Below are 20,019 nucleotides of genomic sequence, written 5' to 3'. Positions count from 1 at the left end.
TCCTGGGTCCTGATGGAGATCACATTCTAGTGACAATTCCTTTTAGAACTTCATTTTTACATCCTCCTTCCCTTCCCTGACAAGTTCATTTTGATACAAGTGAGCAGAGAAGGTCTTCAGCGCCTAGTGGATTCTAGAGGACGGCCAAGAACCTATTGTAAAAGAATGGAATCATGAGATCAGGGAAAAGCTGCTCATTTGGGATAAGATAAGAATCCCAAAGAATGGTACGGATGGCAGTAAGCTGGGGTGGTGCCCGGACCCGCCTTCAAGGCAGTTTGGATTTGACAAACCAAAGTTACTGTTTTGTCTTTTTAAACAATAGTTTTAATCTTTATAAAAGTAATGACTGTAGAAATAAGACACACTACAAACAAAAGTGAGAGTGATACCAGAGAAATTACAAAGAGGAAAGCAAAGATCACAGCTAGAGGTAGTATCAATGTGAACATTTTTGTAAATATCCTTTTGGGCTTTAAATATACATATACACATAAACAGTCATGGAGATTTTTGTGCATATAACTTTTTAAACAAAAGTAAGATTATAGTTTATTGCCTGTTTTTTTCCACTTAATATAGAGAAACTTCTTTCCCTGAAAATAAAAATCTATAGTATACAACTTATAGATATTGTATGAGCACAGTAAATTTACTCATTTAACTCTCTAGTAAGGCAAGTTAGGCTGTATGGTAAGTAAGGTACAGAAAGGAAGCAAGCAACAAGCAAATGAGAAAACTGACTTCAGCTGTGGCAGCATTCTGACTATTTTAAAGGCAGAAAGAAGGTAAGACATATGGAAGCTCAGGAGATTTTTTTGTGTTCCAGACATAGATGAATAATGTCTGAATCTGGAATTCTTTGTGGATGAAGAATTTCCAAAAGGCAAAAAAAAAGGACTGCAACCCAACACACACTATAAATGAAGTAATTTCAAATCTTCACATCTGCAGAACAGATAGATAGAATGTCAAGAAAGCACTGAGACAACTAAAAACAGCGGGTGGACTGCCAGGGAAAAACCAAGTCTCATTCTAATGATCATTCACAACCACAGCTTTCCAAGGAAGTGGCAGAGCTCCCAAACTATGCTCTAATAGAAGGTGTACTGAGCCTTTCTCACGAGATGCTAGGTGGCTTTAAGACTTCATGTGTCCTCTGGGTCTCCACCTTCTCAAGTGTTTGGGTGGGCCTTGTGGGTTAAAAACTGTGCTTGTCAAAGTTCCCTTGGAAGCTGCATTTCCTACTGCAACAAAACAGCTCTGCTTTTATCTGTTTTAGATACTGGATCTCCAAAAAACGTTTTATTTGAAAAAGCATTTCCACAGCTAAAAAGTGTTCTTAAAATAACAGCGTTAAAAAAAAATAGCATTCACCCTTCAGCTTTTTTGTTAACCACGAAGGGAAAAATGTAAATATATAATGGAGAGATACGAACATTCCCATCTCAACACGTTAGACAAACTTGGCGTCACTAATGGTGAGATAATCAATAGGTGCCTCCCAAAATGATTCAATGTCAAGACTGTAGCATCATTGATGGAATTTCCTCACCAAAAATATTTAATTAATCTAATCAATCCTTTAGATCTAATGTCCAATTCCAGAAAATACAGGCTATAGAGAAATAAATTAATACCATGAGGAAGCAGAGAAATTCATAGTATGGATCATTCTATAAGACAACTGGACTGGTGTCTTCAGTGGGTGGGTTAGGGGAAAAGGAAGCAAAAGGAACACCAGATATAAAGGTTCTGAGGTGGGAGCATGGCTTGAATGTTTTAGCAAGAGTGAGAATGCCAGTGTGACTAGACTTTGCTCTTACCTAAGTGAGATGGAAAGCTACTGAGGAGTTTTAAGCAGAGAAATGACATGACCTGATGTTCTTCTTCACAAAATCATTCTGGCTGTTAGGATGAGAACAGACTACAGGGGACAAGAGTAGAAGAGAGAGACCAGAAGGAGGGCTATTAGAATAATCCAGGCAAAAGATGATGCTGGCTTGGACTAGGTGGTAGCAGGAGCAAAGTGGTCAGATTCTGGATATATTTTGAAAGTAGAGCCAATGGGATACATGAGTGGGTTTTATAGAAAACAGAGAGGTCAATAATAAATCTAAGAGTTTAAAAAAACTGTTTTTTTTTTTTTTTAATCCTTGAACAACTGAAGATGAGAACTCACATTAATTGAGACTGGAAAGACTGCAGAAAGAAAAGATTTGTTTGTGGGAGAGGAAGTAGTGGTTGCAAGGAGAATCGGTAGTTCAGGTAGTTCAGTTTTGGACATGTTAACTTTAAGATGCCTATTAAGACATTCAGGTACATGTGTCCAGAGGGCTGCTAGAGAACTGAGCCTGGAGTTTAGGGGACAGATCCGGGTTGATAGAAATTTGGGAGTCTTTTTTTAAAGTCATGAAACTAGATGAGATCACCAAGGGATGGAATACAGAAGTAAAAAGGAGATATCCAAAGGCTGAGCCATGGGGCACTTCAAACATGCAGAGTGGCACTGTCCAATGGAACTTTCTGTGATGATGAAATATTTTTATATCTGCACCATGCAATAGCAGCCACTTCCTACATGTGGCTATTGAGCACTTGAAATACAGCCAATTGAAATAACTACATGCAGCTAGTGGCTACAGTACTAGACAGTGTAGATCTAGAGTATGGCGAATTGAAGAAGAACCAGCAAAGGAGACTGACAAAAAATGGCCAGAGAGGGAAGAATTACTGTGAGTCAATTCTCCATAGGTCTCTTATGTTTCTGCAAATATTGTAAGTGAGGCACTATCTTGATAGTCGGTGATGTGACACATGACAGTTCTAGACTATCTTTTCAAGGATGTTTTTTATACTGAATAGCCTTGGAAGACTTGGTAGTGTCTCCCTCCAGAGCAATGGGTTACTGTCCAGCATAATAAAGATAATGTTTCCCTCTGAAACAAAGAGCAAGCATGCTTATGGCCCATTATAAAAGATTTGGGTTCCACCTAAGATCAAGTTTCCTTTCCAATAACACAGCCTTACTGTGTGTGCAGGTGTCATCTGGCCTCTTCATATTGCCCTAGGAGAACTTGGGATCAGGAAACCAGCACAAAAATACTGATACTCTGGTTATGTTACTGCTATAAGTAATAAACTGTCTTCTGTCTCTGATCCAGAAGTCTTGTGTCTTCTACCATTATACATCAAACTGTTGCATACTAACTTGTTAGTATACAAATACAGTAAACTCTTAGATCCTTCAGAGTTCTTGACAAGTATCTCAGAAGCCCAGTGAAGGTGTTTCAAGGAGGATAAAGTGAACGATCAACTCTGTTCCTGAATGTTAAGTCAGATAGGTGTTGAGAAATGACAGATGTGGACATCACTGATAACCGAAAAGAGCAGTTTTATTGGAATTATGGGGGAAGAAGTCTGACTGGCTTTAGTTAAAAAAAGAATGGGAAGTGAAAAATAAGCAACAGAACATAAATAACTCTTTAAATAAGTTTTACTACGATGTTTACATTAAATAAGGCAAAAGTTAGAGTGGAAAGTGGAGTCAAGAAGGATTGTTTTTAACATGGAAGAAATAAAAGCATATGTTCATGCACAAGAGAATGGTTCAGAAGAAAGGAAAGCTGATGACACAACAGAAAGAATTATAAAGCACTTAGGGTAGTTCTTTCACACTAACAGGAAAGAAAGCAGAGTATATGGATACTACTGCGGGTAGTGGGTAGCTGTGGTGATAAAGCTCCTTCCTGACTCAGTTTCTTGGTGAAATAGGAAGCAAGCCATCAGTTGAGAGCGAAGAGTGGGGAGGAGGTATCCAACATGAAGGAGACTGAAGAAATAGTCATCAAATAGGAGATGAAACTGACAGAAAATGGCTGGAGAAATCTAGTATAATAGCCAGGTAACATTAAGGGTCCACTTGAGGATATGATAATTAATATGTCAAGTTCAGCAGCATGGTTTTACAGGCATAGAATAGGCAAAGAACTGGATTTAACTGGCTCTGTGGGTTAGCCAGGCAAGGTTGCTGAAGTGAAAGAGGGTCAGAGGAATTGAGGATGTATGCAAGGGAGAGATGATGGTGACTGATGATGAAATCTAAGCCTCTACCCCTTCTACCTCCTGAAAACTTAACCCTTCCGCTGAGCCCTGTGGGACTCATGAGCAGTTATCAGCAAAATCCTCATATTCTTGACCTCTACAGCTTTCTTCAACTTCCTTTACCTTCATATTTAAATGGAAACTGAACTCTCCCCTGAGAACGCTGCTTTCCCTGTATCCCTTTTAGATGATGACTCTTTTTCTCTTCCATACTCCTCAAAATATGAGTCCTGGTAACTGCCTTTCTTGTTCCTCACCGCTGCTTCCAGATCATTCTCCCTGTGTGCTCTCCAAAAATCCTCTGCTCTGAGTTACATACCATCAGACTCTACTGCCTACTATCGTTCCTTATTGCAGTCATTTATGGCTCCCCAAAGTCATTCCCTTTCATTCCTTGATTTTAGTTCCTGGCTGTCACTCCAACACTATTTCTGTCATAAGTCTTACTGATTTTAGCATCCAAACAAATAATTCATCTGATATTCTGTCCTTAGTTTCTTGATCTTTTTTTCCCACAACATTAATCATGCTGATCTTGTTCTCTACCCTGTCTCAGTCACTTTATCCCATGGTCACATCCTAAGCCTTTAGAACATCTAAGAGTACATCTTAATAACCATACATCTGGAGATGCATCATTTGCCAAAAAGTTTACTGGTGAGTTCCAAGTAAGACAATCCGTCTGTATGCCTCCACTGGCAGGGTCAAAGGAACGGTTATACATTAGGTGTAAGACTACTCTCTGCAGAAATTCATGCTACCTTCATCAACAGATAAACAGCAAGGAGGAGGGAACTTGGCATGCATCCTCTAATCTTGGGCTTGTATTCCTTAGGTAGGGAAGAGTATGTGTGTGTGAGAGAGAGGGAGAGAGAGAGACAGAGAGAGCGAGAGAGAGAGGGAGAGAGGGAGAGAGGGAGAGAGGAAGGGAGAGAGGGAAAGAGGGCGGGGAGAGAGAGAGAGAGAGAGAAAGGGAAAGGGGGAGAGAGAGAGAGACAAAGTGAGCAGGACTGGGTTAGAGACGGAGGTGTGCTGCTATGCTGACCCTTCTTGTACTGGGCTTTCAAAGAGAAGATTAATATTATTACATCATCATTTTAAAGTACTTATACATGCTAGGTGTATTAGTCCATTTTCACACTGCTATAAAGAAATACCTGAGACTGGGTAATTTATAAAGGAAAGAGGTTGATATGGTTTGGCCTTGTGTCCCCACCCAAATCTCATATTGTAGCTCCCATAATTCCCACATGTTGCGGGAGGGAGATGGTGGAAGATGATTGAATCATGGGGGCAGGTCTTTCCTGTCCTGTTCTCGTGACAGTGAATGGGTCTCATGAGATCTGATGGTTTTAAAAATGGGAGTTTCTCTGCACAAACTCTCGTGGTGGTGCCTGGCACCATCCACGAAAGATGTGACTTGCTCCTCCTTGCCTTCTGCCATGATTGTGAGGCCTCCCCAGCCATGTGGACTGTAAGTCCAATAAAACCTCTTTCTTTTGTAAATTGCCCCGTCTTGGATATGTTTTTATCAGCAGCGTGAAAATGGACTAACACAGAGGTTTAACTGACTCACAGTTCTGCATGGTTGAGAAAGCCTCAGGACACTTACAATCATGGTGGAAGGGGAAACAGGCACATCTTACATGGCAGCAGGAAACAGAGGAAGCAAAGCAGGAAGAGCCCCTTATAAAACCATCAGATCTTGTGAGGACATACTATCGCGAGAACGGCATGGGGGAAACTGCCCCCATGATCCAATTACCTCCCAGCAGGTCCCTCCCTCAACACTTGGGGATTACAATTCGAAGTGAGATTTGGTTGGGACACAAAGCCAAACCATATTACTAGGATTGTGCTGAGTATTTAAATGCATCATCTAATTTAATTCTTATGTCAACATTGAAGTGTTATCTCTATTTCACAGATGAGGAAACTGAGGCTTACAGAAGAAAAAAATTTACGCATGTTACATACTCAGAAAGTAGAACTGTGATTTGAGTCCAGGTTTCTGTAAGATCAAAGCTCTTTTGTCATATACTATGTCTATATTAAGGCTAAAGGAGCTGGGGTAGTCAGTTCCTAAATCCCTGCTACAATTCCAGATTTCTCAACTTCTAGGGAAGGAACTCTCAAATTAGGAAATAAAAGAAGGAAAGAGAAGGAAGGGAAAGGAAGGGTAGTTAGAAGGGGAAGGAGGGAGGGAAAATCTATACAACACTGAAGTTGTTATAGTAACCTGGATAGGATGAACAAAAAGGTGGATTTCTGTTAAACTCCAATTTTGTTTTTCAAAAAGTTTGAAAACTAATAAACTGTGACACATAAAATAGCTATAAAAAAAGTCATAACAGATAAAGTTAATGGAGTAAAATTTACAGGTGACTCTTAAAAACCAATGAATAATGTTAAGTGCTACCTCTCTCTGAACTTCAGGCTATAAGTTTGTTGTCAAACTTTGTAAGTATACTTAAAACAATGAGCTTGTTCAATAATGTAACTGACTAGGACATAATTAAAAGCATGTTCACAAATGGCATCATATCCAGAAATAGAATTACATACAAAACATGCCATAAGGCTAAGCATAAAGCCTGACTTAAAAAATGACCTGTGAGATTAAATCAACAAGAGGCAAATAGAAGATGCAGAAGGCTCTAAATGTGGAAGAACACAAATATCAGGGCAAGACAAAGCAATTTAAAGAAACTTAACAGAAGAGTAAAACGTAGGATTTGATTTAGAGGAAACATATAAATAGAAAAGCAAAAATGCACTGAAAAGAAGAAACATTTTGAAGTAATTTCCACTTATTTGCAAAGTCTTGTCTTTTTAGTATTAAGCATTTATAACACTGTTATAGTTTTTCAGGAAGGGGGATGATGGGATTCAGGTGGCAGTGTGATGAATCAGGGAAGCAGACGCAGATGAGTCAGAAAGCCATCACAATTTACTCATCCTCATATCCCCACCACATAGCCAGTGCACAGCATAAAATATAAATTCAATAATATTTTCTTAATGGATAAACGGTCAGATTCTGTGAAGCACACCCCAAAACTAAACTTGGGTAGAGAAATGGGGCAAAAGCCCAGTGGAAATATCTGTAAGAAGAAAATGCAGATTACTTTGAGCTGATCCTTCACAGTCCTCACGTGTCCCTTGACAGAACCCATTGCTTAGCTCCTGCCCTGGATATGGCTTTGGAATCCTATTTCTTGACCCCACTGATGCCCTCTATTTAACCAAGCAAGACTATAAACTTATCACATCTAACGTTATTAGTTCATTTTTGCACTAAGCTTGCCAATTGGAAGAGTGCATGAAGTACTCATCTGTCTGTAAGACAAATGCAGGTAAAAAGTTATGATCCTGTGGGCTCAATAGTACCACCTAACTAAGCAAAATCACCCATAGGACACAAGCCTGAATTACCACCTCTAGTGGGGTTCTGTGGCCATAATTTCGGCAGGAAATTTTTCATTCAATATTATGAAAGGTGTGTGTGTATGCATGTGTTGCAGGGGTGGCTGGAGTTGGGGAAGATGATACTGAGATCAGATGGGAAAGCAGAACTGAGAGCAAGGTTCAACTTCAAGAATCCAAAGGGGAGTCCAAACCAAAAGACCAGAAGGGGTACAGAGGTTGACCACAGAGTCAGGAATTTGAGAGTGGGAGGGTTGAGAATAAATAGACTCATCTGCTGTAAGAGAGCCAGCAAGGTTGTTCATTATTTGTTTTTTATTTCCTGGTCATATATGTGGTATGTGAGGCTGAGCTGACAGGTCCAACTCTAGGGTCAGGACAGCAACCCACCCTGCTTCACCAACCTTTGACCGCCATTCAGCCTCAAGTGCCCTGAAGGGTATAATGAGAACCTGAGACACTTCCAAAGTTCTTCATTCAGCGGACATCCTACATGTGGGACTGCAGGAATCCCTGTATTTTGCAGATGAGGCCCAACAAGAGTTTGTTATTAATTACCCATTATATAGACAAAGAACCCGATGACCCAGTAGATGCACAACTGGAGTACATTATTGTGAAACAGAACTTTTTACAGATGTCTTGCTATGAACTTGTTTGCAAGTTCATAAAAGTGGAATGGCCAACTGCCACATGTGCAGCCCAGACCCAGGATATAAACTCATTCAGTAAGACCTGTCAACCCTATCTCAAAAATATCTCTTAATTTTGACCACTTTTAATTTCCACTGTTAGAATCACGATCCTAACCATCATCTTCTCTCACCTGAAGTACTGTCATGGACTTCTAACTGGTCTCCCTGCTTCCACTCTTGCCTCTCCAAACTCCAGTCATTCTGCAAGCAGCACTACCAGAGTAATACAAATCAGAGTGAATTGCTTTCCTGTTTAAATGCATTTTGAACAAAGTCTAAACTCCTCTCCCATGGCCTTTAATAGCTCAGTCTGCTAACCACCTCCCTGACCTCATCTTGTACTATTCTCCCTTGGCCTTCCTTTCTTCAAATGGCCTCTTCCTCTCCCTCGACCCTGGCCCCTTCTCATTACTCTCTGCCCTATTATGTAGTTTAATGTCTTCATAAAACTTATGAGTTCTTGGCTTTATTTACTGTTTACACGTTTACTGTCTTTATCCCTGCAATAGAATGTACACTCCAAAGGCAAGGATTTTGTTTGCTGTGGTCACCACTGCATCCTAACACTAAAACAGTGCCTAGTATATATAAGTACTCAATGAAGGAAGAGAAGGAAGAAAGGAGGAAGGCAAATTGCTAATATACCACCACTTCTGTTTCCTTGGCCAAGACCTGGACTAGAAAAAAAGGTCACTTTTTGTAATCAGTTTTAAGGAAGGGCTAACTGGCTCCATCTAGGATAAAGTGGCCTTACTGACCATTTCTGAGAGTTGTTCAGCTTCATTTGGCATTTTAACTGATGAAAAAATATAGCATTTTCTTTGAACCTAAGACCAGCACCCCTGGCCCCCATCCCAAATCCTCTAATACAGAGAGGCAAAGTAGAGAAGACAATCTGCTACAGCTCCAAGACCCAGCACAACTCCCCAACATACAAACCAAGAAACACCGCCAACAAGATGCTCAATTATGAATCTACTACAGCTAAGCAAGTTACTTTACAAAAGTCTAATTACTGAATAGTCGTCTGGCTCACCAGTAAGGTGGACCCACATCACCATGATCACCAAACTTAAAGAGCTTATGTCCAAATCCCCAGAGAACACATTCCTGCATAGGCATCTGGTTATCCAAACATTTTAGGACATTCTGTCAACCAGGCCTTGCTCCTTTAGGCAAAGTGACATACATGTACTGATGACTGGAAACCATTAAGAGCTTCTGATGTTACCACTGTCATTCAGTACACCTACACCTGGTGGTGCTCCTCCTTGTAAATGCCCCGCTACCACTCATCTGTGCTATGCAAGAACAGCTCAAGACAAACCAAACTCCACTACGTGGGTGTGGGAAAACTAAGACACTTGAACATCAGTGGTTACCAAGCTAGCTGAACTGAGTGGAACTTCATGGAAATCACCAGATTGATTAGGCATCAGCCTAAACAGGCTTTATCATGATGGCAACTGGCTCTTAAGGGAAACAGATTTTGGCCAAGATGGTCTATACCAATGTATAGGAGTCTATACACCTTATGGAAATTTTTGGTTATATACTTAAAGTTCCAGTCATCTACTTCACCTCACCTCCTAAAGTCCCTCGTTCCTGTTGGGTGGGAATCATCTATAAATTTTATTGGGGCAATAAAGCTGCCCAGTGCAAAAGTAGTTCATGTTATAAACTAATTTAACCTTCCTTTTCTATTATACACTTACCAACTTTTTTTTTTTTTGGAACATTTTATGCTCCTTTTTTTAATCCCCCAAGGCTTGGGGCAGCAATTAACTCCTTTTCAAACAAGTCTTCTGTCTTATGTACTGAGCAAGATATTTCGTTCATTTCCTCTTGACTTATACCCACTTCTTAGAGACCTGCCTTGTTCACAGGCAAGATGGGGAAACTATGTGTCACATGCTTTCCAATCTCTGGAAAATTTGGTTGGGACACTAACTCAAGGTAGACCAATTATATTTTCTGTCCTGGGGACTTTGAATTGAAGCACTGAAATGCTGTCAATTAGCTGAGAGCTCTGAGTCTCAAAGGTCCTATCATTTTGTGCCTGAGGCCACTCTTTCGGGGCATTCATGATGAGCAACATGGCAGGAGACACTGGTGTTAAGAAAACAGAGTAGACATAATACAGAAAGAGAAGCATGTTCATTTTCCATGATGGCGGCTGTACTTACTAAAATTGGAATGAACTAACGTGTTCCCTGAGTATTTTAACTATAAACAATATTTTACTTACAGTGGATTTACTTAAATGGATGTTTATTCCTTAAAACCAATCAATTTCTACAACATGCAAATATACATCTTCATTGATCATCTATTTTTCTTTCAGCTCTTGCTATCATAATACTCTGCCTCCTTCCCTCTCTTGGTGTCTCTCTTCATTTAATCTGTAGCCAAAAAACCCTTATCATATGTAATGGATACTTACCATATTTTTTTTTTGTCTGCCCAGTATGTTTTGGACATTCTGATCTTTTATTATAATGATGGCAGGATGAGCAATACATGTGCCCATGTGCCCACTTTTACAACCAAAGCAACAACATGGATTGAGAGGGGAAACTTGTTAGCCTTTTAAAATGAGCAGCAACGCTGTGTACTTCAGTTAAAGGGACCCATCATATGACACATCGTGTTCCCACACTCTGATGACGGTATGTCTTTTCCAGGCTGGCCAATCTGAATCCAGATCCAATCGGACATCAATCAGTACAATTTCAGTGGTCAGGCCTTTAATGCAGATCAATGTTTCTCAACCTTTTATTTGACAAATAAATCTTTTTTTTTTTTTGAGATGGAGTCTCCTTCTGTCACTGGAGAGCAGTGGCGCAATCTCGGCTCACCGCAACCTCCGCCTCCTGAGTTCAAGTGATTCTTCTACCTCAGCCTCCTGAGTAGCTGGGATTGCAGGTGTGTGCCATCACACCCGGCTAATTTTCGTATTTTTAGTAGAGACGGGGTTTCACCATGTTGGCCAGGCTGGTCTTGAACTCCTAACCTCAGGTGATCCACCTGCCTCAGCCTCCCAAAGTGCTGGGATTACAGGCATGAGCCACCACGCCTGGCCAAATAAATATTTTAAAAGTAATACTGCAAACTTCCTTAGAAATTTTTAAAATCATTTACAAAAATTTTATGACATATGATAAAGCAATTTCAGGTAAAAATATTTTATCTTAAATCAGCGTATCATTAAAGATTGTATTACAAAGTTTCTGTGGCATAATCTTTAATACTGATAATATTTAAGGAAAAATTTTAACTTCCATTCAGAGTAGATGAACTATTTTGTCATGTAAAGAAAATCACAGGTTGATGAGAAGATGGACTTAGCACCAAATGTATATTGAAATGTAGATTAAAAATTAATTTGTATTATAGCATCCAAAATAACAAACTGCATCTATAACCTGATACTTACATTTTCGAGCTTATAAAGATCAGCTGCTTATTTTGATAATTTGGGGGTTTAGTTTTTAAATGTCAAGGTAGAAGAAATGGTTTCACACTGCTCTTTGAGAGAATTTCTTTGTAACACATTGTAGATTTTTATTACCAATAAATGAAAAGCCAAACTGGATAGAATCACCCATATTTTTTCTTCTTCACATTTTCAAGTGTTTAAACCTTTCCTTTTTAGAATTTTAACTATCTAAAGGGTACAATTACAAAAAAAAAAAATCCAGTTGTCCACAACACCAATCATATACAAAGGTGAAAATGAATTATTTTTCAAGAAATCCACTTCCTAATTATTTAATACCACATTGGGTCTTTCAATTGACAATTCATTTTAGAAATTAAAGCCTCTTAATTTGATTAGGCCTATGCTATCTTTCATGAGATTCAACAGAGTACCTTTACCTTACTATTTGTATTTGGTGAACCAACCTGAAATTATTTTCTCTAGAACAGGCTTAAGAATAGGAAATAATAAATGCCAATTACATGCATATGTAAATAAATGTATAACTTTAAATATAAGGCATGCTTGGCTGATGTTTCTAACTTTATAATGATTTTTTTAAACTTTTTATTTTGAAATAACTCTACATTTCTAGAAAAGTTGCAAAGAGTACAGAAACACCCTTCACCTGGCTTCCTTTAATCATACAGTTTTAAAAATATTAGATATATCTTGATGTTTTATAAGAATGCTGATCAGCCAGGTGTGGTGGCTCACACCTGTAATCCTGGCACTTTGGGAGGCTGAGGCAGGCGGATAGCTTTTAGCTTAGGAGTTCAAGACCAGCCTGGGCAACATGGTGAAACCCTGTCTCTACAAAAACACAAATATTAGCCGGGCAGTGGTGGCTCACACCTATAGTCACAGCTACTCGGGAGACCGAGGCTGGAGAATCGCTTGAGCCCGGGAAGCGGAGGTCGCAGTGAGCTGAGATTGCACCACTGTACTCCAGCCTGGGCAACACAGTGAGACTCTTATCTCAAAAAAAAAAAAAAAAAAAAAAAAAAAAGAATGCTGATCAGATGAATGCAACTTATGTATTTAATAAAGAGCATCTTAAAATAATTTAGCACAATTATATTTTTTATGCTCTTTAACTTATATTTTGACACGTGTTGCACACATGCTCCATCTTTAACCAACAGTCCATTATGAGTACAAATAAAACCACAAATGCAACTAAAAACAATTAAAAACAGTGTAATGGTTAAAAACCAACAAAGCAGACAATAAACAATGATTACAGATCATGACCACATTCAAGCAATATCTTCTAACGACTGTATGTTTGCATCACACCACTCAAACTGTTATCTTTAAGTGGAAAAATATTTAAATATTTTATTGACACAGAACTATTATTAATGTCAATGATATAAATTGATTCTAAGAGCAATTTATAATCTAATTCTAAAATTTCACATCAATTAGAAAATGTGCCAGAAGAGTCAAGACAACTTTGGAGTGGGAGGACAAAGGGAATGGTAATGTTTTTTCCTTAACATTGAGTGGTAACAAGTGTTCATTGTATTGCTATGCTTTACACCTTATATATATGTTTTACAAATATTCTACTATAGCTATTTAATATTTAATTTTAAATATATTTCATTTTTTAAATAGAATGGAGGAGGACCTTGCCTTACCAAGAAAAAATATTATAAAACTACTGCAATTTGAAATGTATTAATGGTGTAGAAACAAAGATCAATGGGACCAAACACAGTCCTAAAACCAACTTATGCACATATGAGAATTTAGTAATTGATAATTTGACATGCCACCTATTAAAATTATTATTCTAAATGAATGGCCAACTGAACAAGATTCTTCCCTCACACTATTCACAAAAATAAATTTCAGATGAACTTAAATATCTAAATTTTAAAAATAGTATTAAAAAGTAAGATTTTATGTGTATCTTTGGGGCAGAAAAGAAGTATTAAAGTTAAGTAAAATCAAACGCCATATAAGGCAAAGATAGGGAAATTTGCCATCAAAATTAAAAACTACTATTTAACAAAAGATACCACAAAGGGAGAGGACTCCAACAGATTGGAGGAAATATGCCATTTTTATAATAAAGGATGAGTATGTAGAGTTTATTTACCTAGAGTTTATTTATTTAAGTTTATTTATCTACAACATAAATAAACAAGAAAAGGCAAGCACCTGTTATGTTGTGTATTCTAGAAAAATGCAATATGAGTGCTTAAACAAAATACAAGTTAAATTTCCTTCTCATGCTAAAGAAAGTCTTCCCTCTTAGTGCAGCAACTCTGCCAAATGCTCAAGAGAGCCAGCCTTTTTGGCTCACTGACCTACCATGACGGTCCTGATGGTTTATGATGGCCACTAGTGCTCCAGTCATTACATCTGTGTTCCAACATATAAGACACATGAAGGGATGAAGAAAGGAGTGCTTTCTCCCTTTAAGGAGACTTCAGAGAGTCACATTTAACCTTTGCTGCTTATATATCACTAGCCGAAACTTACAGTTATACTTAGCTCCAAGGAGGTCAAGTGTTCTACATGGGCAACAATGGGCCTGGGTAAAAGCTGGGGTTCCTATTACTAAAGATGAAAGAAGAATGGATCACAGGATGTAACCAGCAGTCTCTGCTATGCAACCCAACAGACAGAAAAATAAATACAAATAATCAAAAACTTTAGAGAAGATATTCAGCCCCAAGGAAATAAAAATTAAAACAAGGAGATACCATTTTGTACAACTTTTAAGAGAGGCAAAAATTCACAAATTGGTGAGGGTATGAAGATTTTTAGCCTAACAGTATGTTAATTACTCTTACAAAGAGAACGTATTCAATATTATCAGTGCTTTTAATTAGATTATATATATCTTATATATGTAATATTAGTACAGATAACTTGGGGACCAATTTGGCAGTTTTTAATTAAAATTTTAGCTATATGATTATATGACTCAGCAATTCCACCTTTCAGAATCTATGCAATATAAACATTCACACATTTGCCCAAGTACCAGGATGTTCATTGCAGTAATGTTTAAAACACGGAAAAATTGGAAACAACCCAAGTGTTCAGCATCAGGGGAAAAGCCCTCCACTTTATTTTCTTCATAGCACTATTACTACTATCTGAAATTATATTAATTTATCTACTTGTTTATTATCTAGGAAATCAGCTCATCTAGGAAAAGGAAAGCAAAGAGACTGTATTTATATAATACTTGTTTGGCTAAAATTCTTAGAAATAATACCTTTTCTTCTAAAACAACAAATCAGAACAGACACCATTCCAGATTTTAATAACATGAACCCACCAGAGGGCCCACATAAAGGCCTGTAGGTTTGCAGACAAAGGCTGAGAAACACTGCCCCTGATGAAGTGTCTAAACTTGCTATCTAGATAGACTGTCACTAGATGTGGCCTGTTTGCCCTTTTAAGGCCTGGGGCATTTCTCAGTAGAATCAACACACTCTTCATTACACAGAACCCTCAATTGCCTTTAATACTTGGATCTCAATACTGCTGCCAGCACCCAGTGAGCCTCCACTCATTGAGGGCCCACCATGGGAAAGGGGTCTCAACCTTCTACTAGAAGAATACCAAGACTGCCAAGATGTATCATGTTGAGAGAAGACAAAATGCTAACAGCTGGGCCACAGTGCTTGATGGAAGACTTGGCATTGGTAGGAGCACATCAGTACTCACAACAGCAGTATTCTGGGGCCCAATCCCCAAGGCTGTAAAATAGGAAATATGCCTACGATCTACAAAATGGAAGGGATAAGTGGCCCTTGCTAGGATTCCTAAGCCCTTAATGACATTTCCATTCACAACCACTAATCTCTGCTTTTTATTTCTAATCTCACAGAGAAGCAGTTTTCAAGCTGCTTTTTCAACTGGAGGAACTCTGTTCAAATGAAAGTGTAAGATGAATAAACAAACAAGAGGAAGGGGATAGCCTTAGTGCTCAGTCTAGGGGGTTGGGGTGGGAGGATACCCCTCCCTTTTACCCCAAAGTGCTGAGAAGCAGAGTTTGAAAGGGAAGGGAGACAGAGAACGAGGGAGGAAGCTTTACTAGGAGAAACAAAGGTCCTGTGGAAGGAACATACCTGGCTTGTTGGAAGAAGAAAAAAGTCCCCTTTTTGACTGGGACAAAGCAAGCACAGGGAAGAGCAGTAACAGATGAGGTCAGAAAGACAAAGAGGAGTTCAGATTATGTAGGGGCCTTGTAGGAAAGTGTAAAGCCTCTGAGTGGATAACTTACTTTTAACAAGATTCCTCCGGCTGCTGAGTTGGGAATAGGCCGTCAGAGAAGGACATAAGCAAGGAAAAGACGTTACTGCAGTTATTTCCTTCCTAACTTGGAGATATACATTTGGTAGTCAGCATGTAGTTGTTGGTGTATAGATGGTATTTAAAGTCATGAGACTGACTGAAATGCCAAGGAAATAAGAGTCAATAAGGAAGAATGGAGTATTAATGAGCCATGTAATGCTCCAACTTTTAGGCGTCAGGAAGATCATGAGGAACTAGCAAAAAGACTAAACCTCCAATAAGGTGAGAGGGAAATGCAGAGAATGCAGCAAAGCTAAATGAAGGACGCGTTTCAAAGAAAGAGGAATAATCAACTGTGTAAAATGCTGCTGAAAGGTCAAGTAAGAGGAAGACTGAGAACTGATTCACTAGAGCTAGCAACATGAAGGTCAGTGGTGAGCTTGACAAGAGTGCTTCAGTGGGGGAAGGGGCCTGATTAATGTGGACTCAAGAGAGACTGGTGGAAAAGGAACTGGAGTCAGTGAGTTAGATAACTGTAGAAAACAAATTGAGAGGGGAATGCAAAGTCAAGAGAGTTTGGTCTTATATTAAAAGGCACTATATCTCCGGTATCTAGAACAGTGCCTGGCACATAGTGATAAATTAGTAAGTATTTGTTGACTGAACTAAGTGAGATCACTAGCCATTTAAACAGTCTTAGTTCTGGAAGTTTAAAAGCTGATAGAGTGAAACATGAGGATTCTTGGTCCAATAAGAAGAAACTGCCTTTTAATTTCCTACTATGCCTGAAAACTCTTTAGGGCCTTTAAACACCTAGAATAGACATTCCTCAATATGAGGAATAGCAACAGAATTCAACAAACACATGCCCTACAAGAAAATATACTTTCAATTCTGGATAGCTGCAATCTCTCCAACTACCTCTTGCATCTGGGGCCCTGTGACTTTGGACCTAGGGATACAACATGGATCACAGTCCTTTAGTTACGTCGTGATTCACTATGCACTAAGAGGGAAGATGTGTGGTGGTCCCTGAAGGACATCAATCTATGCGGCCTTGACCAAATGAAAGCTCTATGTGGCATGCCAATAATAATCATGAGTATTTGTTTAATGATATATACTTTTCAAAGTGGTAATACATATATCCTCTCCTATTTAATCTTACAACAACTTTGTGAGGCAAGTGTTTTTATCACTTTCATTTTACAAATAAGAGTCTCAGACTTGCATAAATCACACAGCTCTTTCAACAAATTATGCTGGGATAACTGGATATTCACATGCAAAAGAATGAAGTTGAATCCTTACCTCACATACAATAATTAACTCAAAATCCACCAAATAGCTAAATGTTAAGAACTAAAACTATATATTGCCAGAAGAAAACACAGGAGTAAACTGGCAGGACCTTGGATTTGGTGATAGATTGTCAGATATAATGCCAAAAGCATACACAATCAAAGAAAAAACAAATTCAACTTCACACGAATTAAAAACTTCTGTGCAAAGAACACTAACAAGAAAGTGAAAAAACAGCACACAGTAAGACAGGAAATATTTGCAAATCATAAACCTGATTTGTATCCATATTTACATATGTAAAGAACTCTTAAACTCAACAACCAAAAGACAATCCAATTAAAAAATTGATAAAAGACTTGAACAGACATTTCTCCAAAGATACACAAATGGCCAACACATGAAAAGATGCTCAACGTCAGTAGTCATTAGGGAAATACAAATAAAAATCACAATGAGGCACCACTTCACACCCACTAGGATGGCTATAACCAGAAAACAAAAGTGCTGGCGAGGAGGTGGAGAAACTAGAATTCTCAAAAATTGCTGGAAAAAATGTAAAAGTGTGCAGCATCTGTGGAAAACAGTCTGGGAGTTCCTCAAAAACTTTTTAAACATAGAATTATTTCATAATCCAGCAATTCTATTCCTAGATACATGCACAAAAGAATTGAAAACAGGTATTTAAACAAAAACTTGTAGAAGAATGCTCTTAGCAATACTATTTATAAGAGCCAAAAGGTGTAAACAATCTAAATGTCAACTGATAAACAAAACGTAGTATATCCATACAATGGAGTATTATTCAGCCAAAGAAAGAATGAAGTACTGATACATGCTACAACCTGAGTGAACCTCGTATACATTGTGCTGAATGAAAGAAGCCAGGCACAAAAGGTTACATATTGTATGATTCCATTTATATGAAATCTTCAGAACAGGCAAATCCATATAGACAGAAAGCAAATTGGCGGGTGCCAGACGGTAGGGGTAAAGGGGAATGGCGAGTGACTGCTTAATGGGTACAGGGTTTCCTTTTGGGGTGATGAAAATGTTCCAGAATTAGCGGTGATGGCTGCACAACATTGTGAATGTACATACTGAAGTAACTGATTTGTACACTTTAAAATGGTTAATTTTACCTCAATTAAAAAAAATCACACAGTTCACCCTTGACAAATCCAGGAACTATACTCAGGAACTGACTCCAAGTCCTCTCCCCACTCAGCTATCCTGTTTCCTCCACAAACCAAAGGAGCTCTGGACCACCTTGGTAATGGACTTTTGCCTCTATATACTGCCAGCCAGGCATAGTACCTAACCATATTTGTGATGATGGAATTCCCACAGCTGTCCAAGCATACACAAGTTTCTAAATAAGATATTTTCTTATAATGGACTCACATTACAAACCATCTTGGACCAAGGTCTGCTTTCATGTCACAAAGTCATCCTTTATACAGAAGTTAACCATCATCCACCTAACTGATAAACCAATGACAGCTATGAAGTCTGGTCCCTCACAAGATGATATTCCTGTTTTCAAGAGTATAGCAATGAGGTTTATGCCTTCAATTAATCAAAACCATTCTTAACCAATAATTCTTGGCATTTTCCACCCCTTATATTTTCTGTTCTGTTGGCAGGCTACAACTCTTAGAAATATGAAGCACAAAATTGACCTTAAAAGCCTCTCTGCTAGGTTAAGGTTGCCAATGTGGCAGAAATGGATAAAAGACAAACTGGTTGTGACCATTTGCATTACAACCCATCCTAAATAGTCACTCTAACACCAAGTCTTCGAGGTAGAAGCCTTCACACAACTTTTTGGAAACCAGTTTGCTCAGTGCTTTCTTCTTTCTGAGCTCAATGAGGGCCTACATCTCCAACTTACATCCATATCCCTCAGGTACCATCAATGATAAATACTTCAAAGTATGAGAGTTTTTACATGCATGCAACTGGAAAATTAAGCTATAATATCAAGTTAATTGGAAAAAATACAGCTGCAAAAACTATTCCTGGGAATCTCACAGTTAGATACACATTCCCTAACATAGCCAAGTATTCCATTTTCAGCATACCAACAATATAGTCTTTGTTCATCAGCTCAATGGGAGGATGATGTCAGGGTCACTGGAGCCCAGATCACCACTGGCCTTTAGGAGCTCTACAGCTTTCCAGTTGAGAAAGAAACTTGTGGCCTAATCACCAACATCTGAGTCAGCCCCTTCAACAGTCCTGGCAAAATTTCTTCTCAGTAAAAAGTAGTCTCCAAAACAAGACCCCTAAGAACGTGGGAGAGGGGTAATCAGACACCATTGACCTACATCCCTAAAAAGTTAGGAGAAATGTTTGAGTAACCAACAGACTAACACCTACATTGTAGGCATGTAAGACACCTCATCCTCCCTCACCACTTCCTCTTTTTGGGCAAGCTTCTCAAAGGAATTTCCAACACTTGCCACTCCCATTTCCTTACTTTTTACCCACTTCATTTTGGTTTCTGCCTCTTCCAATCTAAAATGGTTCTTGCTGAGGTCAAAGACTCCATCTTGCTAAATTCAACAGATCATTTTTGTTCCACATCTTTACTTGATGACACCTCTCTATTTGAAACATTCTTCTCTCACCTTTTATGATGCATCTTAAACTAGAATTAGATTGTGAAGGAAACAGCTAAGACAAAAACCAAATATTGTTTAAATTACTCTTGAAAATCCTTTAAATGGCCCGTTAAATATC

General features: G+C 38.5%; 1 protein-coding gene across 8 annotated transcripts in view, besides 2 other annotated features; it reads right to left on the bottom strand.

Annotated features, from left to right (window-relative positions):
• Positions 1-20,019, bottom strand: part of PPP2R3A (protein phosphatase 2 regulatory subunit B''alpha) — a 182,167-nt gene that overhangs the window by 157,491 nt on the left and 4,657 nt on the right. The gene's annotated exons all lie outside the window — the stretch shown is intronic.
• Positions 4,220-4,855: an enhancer, noted in NCBI's record as "H3K27ac-H3K4me1 hESC enhancer chr3:135704391-135705026 (GRCh37/hg19 assembly coordinates)". NCBI's record gives its function as "activates a minimal SCP1, AML or CMV promoter by ChIP-STARR-seq in naive and primed H9 embryonic stem cells {active_cell/tissue: H9 hESC(naive and primed)}" and the evidence as "EXISTENCE:reporter gene assay evidence [ECO:0000049][PMID:30033119]".
• Positions 4,856-5,493: an enhancer, noted in NCBI's record as "H3K27ac-H3K4me1 hESC enhancer chr3:135703753-135704390 (GRCh37/hg19 assembly coordinates)". NCBI's record gives its function as "activates a minimal SCP1, AML or CMV promoter by ChIP-STARR-seq in primed H9 embryonic stem cells {active_cell/tissue: H9 hESC(primed)}" and the evidence as "EXISTENCE:reporter gene assay evidence [ECO:0000049][PMID:30033119]".

Source organism: Homo sapiens, chromosome 3 (genome assembly GCF_000001405.40).
Source record: "Homo sapiens chromosome 3, GRCh38.p14 Primary Assembly".
In the NCBI taxonomy this organism is placed as follows: Eukaryota; Metazoa; Chordata; class Mammalia; order Primates; family Hominidae; genus Homo; species Homo sapiens.
This window is presented reverse-complemented; position numbering and strand designations above follow the sequence as displayed.